Raw genomic sequence first — 8,398 nt, 5'->3', positions numbered from 1 at the left:
TTGAAAATAAATGAATTCCAAGAATTATGTTGAAAATTTTAGCTATGAGAGTGAGGAGAAACTTGAAGACAAGATACTTGGTATATTCCAGACATAACTCTAAAACTAACTAGCAATTATGATCTTGATCAAATCACTTAAGTTCTCTGAGACTCTGTTTCTTCTAGTTATAACTCTAAAATATTGGGGGAATCTCCATTTTTTATTATGACAAATAATCAAAAATTAACTAGATGTTGTGATTTACATTGGAAATATATTCTTATAAGAGACCACCTTTAAATACACAAGAGTTTTTAAGTATTTACTTCTTTATATTTATACTTAAACAGTATTCCTGAACCTCACAACTTTTTGTTTTCTTATTTTCCTCTTCGTTCCAGGCCTATCAAAGATGATGGAATCTTTGAAAGTGTGTCGATGTGTATGCTTATGTAATATTAGGACTGAAATTTTTAAATCTTAAAATGTGAAAGCTCCAGTTGTCAGAAGATCATAAGTCTTTACTTTTAAGGACTGTTAAAAATCACCTTCTGTGAGATCTCAGCTTTGGGATTTTTTTTGACATTTCAAGACTTAAATTTGAAAGTGTAGAATCTCTATAAATACAACATTACCACAAGCCCAAAAAAGTCAAGAAATGCAAAAGGTTAGATTCTTACTAACTCCTCTCCCACATTATGCTCTAAATTGAGTTATGTATCTTTGAGTTAAATACGTAATCAGGAATACTTTATATGAAATACAGTTTAAGTTATGACATATTAAGTTTTTCTCTTTGAATTTTGGGGCATAAAATTGTGTATGTAAATCATGCAATATCACATTTTTTGCATGTGCCCTTAAGGCTTTTTTATGTTTTCTTCACATAGTCCCCTCATTTACAACTTTATCTTGCTGTGGACTAACCATATGGGAAATCCACTATTTTAAACTTAAGCTATTTTTGTGGTGTTACTGCATAAGAAAATGCCTTTAGAGTAGAAAAATCATATATTTTTTAACCAGATTATATAAATAAAAATTAATTTTTGTCTAGTGGTCATTTCTTAGTTCAATTTGAAGTATATCATTTTTAATTCCTAAATATTTCTAGAAAGCCTCCATTGCCATGGCCAAGTGAAAAATCGAAGATAATAAAGAAGTGCCATGAGACCTGGACATTTTCGACGTGTTGAAGATTTAAAATTATGTGTAATTTACATGAGACATATAAATGAAAGGATAGACTTCACTAAGATTTTTTTTTTTTGCTTTAAAAATAGGGTATTTCTCTCCTGCAGCAGCATCTCACATCTCATACATATGTGCATATTTAGTTTTCTATGTAGCATTCAGTCCCAAGAACACTAATTATAATTTTAAATTATCAATAAGATATAGGCTTAAAGTACAGTAGATGTTGAATTTCATATCTCTTATAAGATTCCCTATCTAAAGAAAGCAACTACTTTATGCTTTTATTTTCATTTTTTAGAAATTGTTATGAACTTCATAGTCACTTATATTCCACTTTTTACGTTAAAAGCACTCTTTGAATTTGTAGTGTGCAAATAGGTATATGGTTTTTATGTCTAAGAAAAACATTGCCGATGGTAATTCATCTGTGTATCAGGAAACAAGTGAAAACCAACACACAATCCTCAGTTCACATGGGACCATCTCAAAGTGTTTCTTTGAAGTCCCTGTTGGTAATATTTACAAAATGGCTTGCCATTAACTTGTTAGTATGCTCATTACTTTTGTTTAGAAAAAACCTCAGTTATATTGCTTTTTTTTTTTTTAGACGAAGTCTTGCTCTGTTACCCAGGCTGGAGTGTAATGGCCCGCTCTCTGCTCACTGCAACCTCCGCCTTCTGGGTTCAAGCGATTCTCCTGCCTCAGCCTCCCTAGTAGCTGGGATTACAGGCGCCTGCCACCACACCCAGCTAATTTTTGTATTTTTAATAAAGACGGGGTTTCACCATGTTGGCCAAACTGGCCTTAAACTCCTGACCTCAAGTGATCCACCCACCTCGGGCTCCCAGAGTGCTGGGATTACAGGCGTGAGCCACCGCACTCGGCCACATTTAGATTTTTGCTTGTTTATTTGTTGTCTTTGAAATATTTCTTCTGCCCACCTTGATTATGATTGCCCCAGCAAGAGTTTACCAAACAGTAGTTCCTTAGGTGTCCTGCTATTTTCCTAAGAAATCTTCACTTGGAATTTTATATATCTCTTCTGATGGAAGGATAACTGAATTCTATAATTTTGTTGTCTTTTACATTTGATACGATACAGACAGTCATGTTGAAGCTTCTCAGGAACTAAAATGCGATTTCTATAGTAGGTTCAGCTTTGGGAACCATATAAAAAAGTTAACACTTCTCTGTATAACAAACAGTATTGTCTGGGATTTGGTGCCATATTAGAGCCATCCCTTATCAGTGAATTTCCCAAAGAATATGCTGCTTTTTTTGCATAATGGGATTATTTCTAGGAATGGCTCTCTTGACCCAAGATGTGCTACCCTCTCAAAACACATTTGGGTCTTTTAAGCATTTTCAATGTGCTTTGCGATCATGCTCACTCAGTATCCACTCAGTTGTTCTGTTGTTATTTTGATATACATAAACATTCGGCTACACAGTGGGTAAGAGGTAGAAGTAGCACTGAGATCCCCAGGACAGGGACCAAGGCCCAGTTTGGTCTCTCCTTGGCTAAATTCCATTTTGGACAGCTCAGTTTTTCTTTGATGTGTAGGGTTTAATTGCTTATCCCTAAGCATAAGGCTCAATTGGTGGGAGCTTGCGCAGGGAGAGCCATTTGCCCTTTCCTGAATTAAAAAACTGAACATCATTAACAGTTTATTTTTGCAGAGAACCATGCTGCAAGTGGGATACAAAAATGTTATTTTTGACTGCCCAGTTTTGTCCAGGCTAGTCCCTGATGTATCTCATGACCTCACAATAGCCTCTCGTGCCTGCCTGGCCACAAAGCTTGATTATTTTGTAATTTGATCTTAGTGGGGATTCCAGCCGTGCTTCCCTGCTTGTGGGCAGCAGAATGTGGCAGCACGCCTGCTCACTTGCCTGAGCGGCTATGATCAGATTACGCCTTCTCAGCGTTTTTTATATTGGCTGCCTACAAAGTTCAGAGAAGCTTGAAGTCAGCCCACTTGAGTTTTACAGCCCTTAACAGAGGGAGACAGAATAGGAATCTTGGTCTCATCTGTGTATACTGTTAAGACAGTCAGAGAGTCACTCAATGCTGAGTATCTGTATCTTTAATTTTTTTTACATGAACTTTTGTGCATCATGTGATTTCCAAAAACCACTTTTCAAACTTTGTTATTTTTAGAGCTGGCAGTTGAGTTTTAACTTTTATCTTTTAGACATTTTGATAATATGTTATGAATCTGCATAAAAGATGGGGAAGTTTTACTTTTCATTGTTGTTAATAGCAGATCATTGCAGGTCATCATAATTAGGAAAGCACCCTTTTCTCCATACTATTCTTTCAGCCAGATATTCGTAGGATGATGATATTTGTCAACATCTTTATGAGATAACATGACTGCATCCTATTGAGGTTACAGAAGGAAAACACAGTGTCCAATCTGGCACCGTGACATGGCGTGGGAAATTGAGAACCCATACTGCTTTCATTTCCTTCACCCGACAAGCAGTCATTGAGCACCAAAAATGTGAGGCCCTCTGTGAGGCACTGGTGATGCAGCAGTGAGCTGGATACATGGTCCCTGCTCTCCTGGAGCTTAAAGTTTGTTCTTGGAAACAAGATTTCTTATACGGCATATTTGTTTAGCAGCTTTTAAGAATTATATTAGAATAATTTCAGATTTTTAAAATGTGAACTAGAGAGTTGAAAAGGTCTTAGGAGTTCATTTTATCTAGGCTCCTTCCTTGTACAATGAGGAATCGCCCCGCTATGGTATTTGTTCATATGAGTGAACAGAATATGCAATTCATGTTTCATTGTTCAGAATGAAGAAATCATGATTATAGGTTAAGATATAATTTAAAATCCAGCCAAAACTCGATTAAAAACAGTTTTGTTTTCTGACATTATCATTCATACGTTCAGTGGACCAGCAAGAAAGCTTGCAAAATGAAGCATAAACAATGTGGTGCCAGTTTGCTTTAAAATCCCTAATATATGTTTGTAAACAAAGCTTATAAAACTTAGTACTCTACTAATTAAATAACAAGAAAGATTTTATGAATACATGAAAAGCCAGAATGTAAAATGTCTTCAGGGGAACAGGTGCTGTAATGACATCACTGTGTGTCACACAGCATTTTTTTTTTCTTGATACTTGTACTTGGTCATAATGGAAAGAAATTGATTCCAAATGTGTTTTCTTGACCCCCTTCTCCATTCATGTTAGTGCCTAACCTTAAATGATGTTTCTACAATCTTGGTTGTATTTACAGTAATTATATGCATAATGTAGCATATTATTGTCCAGACTTCCTGTTTAATCAGTACAGAGCTTCTTACAAGTGCAGCTGAAAAGGGCAAACAAAATTAAAGCTTTATATACCAAAACAAGTTTGATTTGCTAAGCTCCCAGCATTCCAAAGTACACAAATTTGTTCCACTAAGTTTTCCGATGGCTTGCAGATGGGCAATGATTAATCAGAGAGCTAACTGTGAAGTAGTTTGCAATTAAACTGGAAAGCTCTGAAGCATGCTAATTGAATCAGAAAATTAGAGACACTGAACAGTAATTGGCTATTTCTCATGCAGCAGGTGCCAGGCCACTCATCTGTGGAACAAGGTATTTAAGGCACATTAGCACTAGTAAAAATACTTCTTGATATGGAACAGTTAGATTTTCTGCTCATTTTCACCATGGATGTCAAAACATACAGCTGTGCTATCTGGTACTTGCAATTCATGTTTGAAGAATTTAAGTTAGGTAAACATATGGGAGAAAAGTAGTGGGCAACCTCTAAGCACTCAGGAAGCATTTTAGAAGAGAAACCAAAAATGAGGGGCTGAGTGAGGTTTTTGTTTTTTCAACTCAATCACTTTTGCTTTCTTATACATATTTAGAAGTTGAATTTTCTGTTTAGTGTTAGTTTAAAGCAACAACAGTATAAATCTAGTACTGCTGTGAGCTTAGTAGATACATAAAGCCAATTCATATCATATCTCAGCATGAGTTTATATCTTCTAATTAGTATCACTATTTTATAGAGTGAGCACATGCTATGAAAGTTTGTTTGCCATGCCAACAGGGACCAGGACATGTAGTTTTTCTTTAGTAGAATGATCTGCTGTAGGATCGTGAACAACTGTAACCTAGCCAGTGGGTAATCAGGCAAGTATGAGATTTAATAAGTTCAACTGTAGAGGTTTGTTTTAATAATAATCATTTTCATATTATCAAGGGTGGGGCATATGACTTCTGGTTCCCATTCCTTTAATTAGCATTCAGTATTGTTATTAGAAAGTGAAAAGTACAAATGAAAATGAAAATATACTAAACTGTACTGGTTGAGAAGCAGAATATTACAGTATTCACATGTTAATCATTACTTAGAAAATAGTGAGTTTGAACCAAGAGACATAAATTATAAATTATAAATTGTAAACAGTGCATAGGGGATATGTTATAACTGTGTCTCATTTAAATTAAGACAGGGAGTTTTCTCTGCACAAATAATGTTCCTTCATTAAGTTTTAAAGTCTCCTTTATAATGCTTTATTGAGAACATTCAGCAACATGTTACCAAAAAAGGTTTTAGGCTGAACACACAGTTTGTAAAAAAATATAGCACACTACAAGCATAATGCTTTATGTCTTCAAGCTATATATTTTTTTAAGTTAAAGCAAAAGCTCCTCTTTGGCAGGCCTCCTTCTCTACCCCCAATAAACCATGTGCATTTTGCATTATTGAGTCTGAAAGCAGTTCTGAAACATTTACATGATCAATGTCTTTGGCTTGAGGGATAAAGTTTGCTCTTCCATGGACAAGTGAGAACATATTGATCATTTTATTCTATTTGCTATTTCTAAATTCAATATACCTCTTGAGTCGATAAGTGAGATCGAGAGCATATTCTTTTTTGTGTGTGCCTGGTTGTAGCTTGTTCTCAAGATCCAAGATACATTTTTGATTAATCACGAATGCTCTGAGGTCATGGAGAGCAAATGTGTTTGTGGAGTGTCAGCTGATGCTGTCAGATAAATGTCTTAAGCTTAGCCAGGGTTCATGCCCCAGCTTTAGGCTGTGCCAAATGTCTCCCCTTGTTGAGGAAGATAACAGCTACACTGGAGGCGACTGAGCTGTTTGTTCACTGAAAGGGCTGACCTTGCCATATGGGGCTACGATCAGGTGAAAGAAAGAGTGTAGATGTTTTAATTGAAACTTTACAAATTTCAGCTTTCCATTTGATTCCCATGATCTTGTTTCCACTAACTTACATTCTTGGTGTTATATGTCTTGTCTGATTATAACTATGTTGCTTAAGTGTTTCCGATTAGACTCCTTAAGATAAATGATCCCTCCAATATTGTTCTTGGTGTATTCTGAGAGTATTTTGGCATTATCAGTATGTTATTAAAATACTGAAGAGTCATGAAAATATTTATTAGAATAAAAGGGATATGTTTCTCTGTGAGTATGTGCAGTAGAGATTATTCTTGCTTTGCAGTTTTTTTCAAATCCACTAAATTAAAAAAATATGTTCTGGCAAAAAGAGGTCATTTGTGTTAATGACCCTTGTCCATGTAACTTCTTATCTTCAGAGGACTCGTTTAATCACATTTACCCCCACTTACAGTAATTTGTCTTCTTTTACTAGACAGAGTCTATAAATAGGAAATAATGACAAACCTAAACTAACACCTGGAGAATGCTTTTTGCGGAGGCTTTCCCTGTTTGAGACTAAAGGCAGTCAGAATAATCATATGGTGATGCATAAATAAGTGAACTCTCTATGGGCTGTTTGTGGGCATTTACTGCAAAATACATTCTTTAAACGAAGTGTCTTTCTTCTTTCCTATGCCAATTTGTTCTTTTCTCTGAAGAAGCTGTTGTACTTTTCTTTCCTTCCTCCAAGAAGTTCATACTGCTATGGGTAAATCATCAGTGCTAATTTGACACAATAATGCTGAAAGAGAAAAGAAAGAGAGAGAAAAAAAAAAGAGAAGAGAGAAAGAAAGAACACATCTGTCGTGAACTCCCACCAGATCTCTAGAAAATGAGACATTTTAAATATTTTATGCTGAACACAAAGATTCTTGAGTAAATGGCTTTATATTCTGTGTCCCAAAACAAAACTGTCAGGGTCAGTAAGCAGTGCTGCTTAAAAACTCTCTATTTTTAATTATTTCATTTAAAATTACCTCACACTTGAAATGTAGATTCTGTTGGCTATCTATAAAATCTACAGTGTAAAGTAGAAAAAGGAAATAGAACTAGAAGAAAATAGATTCTATTAACTTCAGAAACTTTTCCTTTATCAAGTGATACTTTAAAAAATATTATATTTCATTATCTAGAGACAATTATGTTTCATGTGTGTTGGCATTAGTGAACAAAATGAAGTTTGGTTTGGTTTGGTTTCTGCAGTAGCTAAAGTTACAAATAGACCAAGTAGAAATGCGAGAAACTGAGGATAACATCCATGGTTAGACATTAAACTTCTGGTGATATGATTAAAAGAGCCAAGTCACATCCTGGTTTTCTATAATTTTCTATTAAAGACTAATAATAGCTAATGCCAAAATCATATTTGTAAACCATAATTTTAAGTGTAAATGTAGAATTTTAAAATTCTATTTTCTTCAAATTTAAGCACAGTTTAGTTCTGGACTAAATTTTGTGGGTTTTAAGTATTCCTTACCCATCATTAATTGTTTTTTCTTCTTTATCTCATTAGCTTAAATTTTTTAATGCACTAAAATATTAGTGATGCATGCTGGGCATGGTGGCTCACGGCTGTAATCCCAGCACTTTGGGAGGCTGAGGCGGGTGGATCACAAGGTCAGGAGATTGAGACCATCCTGGCCAACATGGTGAAACCCCGTCTCTACTAAAAATATAAAAATTAGCTGGGTGTGGTGGTGAGTGCCTGTAATCCCAGCTACTCAGGAGGCTGAGGCAGGAGAATCGCTTGAACCAGGGCTTCAGAGGTTGCAGTGGGCCAAGATGGCGCCATTGCACTCCAGCCTCGTGACAGCGAGACTCCATCTAAAAAAAAAAAAAGAACATTAGTGATGCATACAGCAACATTTCTATCACTACTTTTTTAAGACTACTGCCAAAAGATGGTTAACCCTTTAGTTAATATTATTCTCAGTCCCCATCATTTTAAAAGTATTGAACATTGTCATGCCCAAGTCAGATGTAGGAAGAGACTTGGGATTGTTTGACTTTTCATATG

The 8,398-nt window shown here is 35.4% G+C and overlaps 1 protein-coding gene and 1 long non-coding RNA gene across 20 annotated transcripts in view; one reads left to right on the top strand and one right to left on the bottom strand.

Moving 5' to 3' along the window:
• The window catches only part of ARB2A (ARB2 cotranscriptional regulator A), a 493,975-nt gene that overhangs the window by 431,161 nt on the left and 54,416 nt on the right, over positions 1 to 8,398 (top strand). The gene's annotated exons all lie outside the window — the stretch shown is intronic.
• The window catches only part of LOC124901028 (uncharacterized), a 53,162-nt gene continuing 50,459 nt past the window's right edge, over positions 5,696 to 8,398 (bottom strand). Inside the window, exon 3 of the long non-coding RNA XR_007058874.1 lies at positions 5,696 to 7,123. This is a non-coding gene — a long non-coding RNA (uncharacterized LOC124901028). The remainder of the gene's footprint in view (positions 7,124 to 8,398) is intronic.

Source organism: Homo sapiens, chromosome 5, assembly GCF_000001405.40.
Source record: "Homo sapiens chromosome 5, GRCh38.p14 Primary Assembly".
Classification (NCBI taxonomy): Eukaryota; Metazoa; Chordata; class Mammalia; order Primates; family Hominidae; genus Homo; species Homo sapiens.
This window is presented reverse-complemented; position numbering and strand designations above follow the sequence as displayed.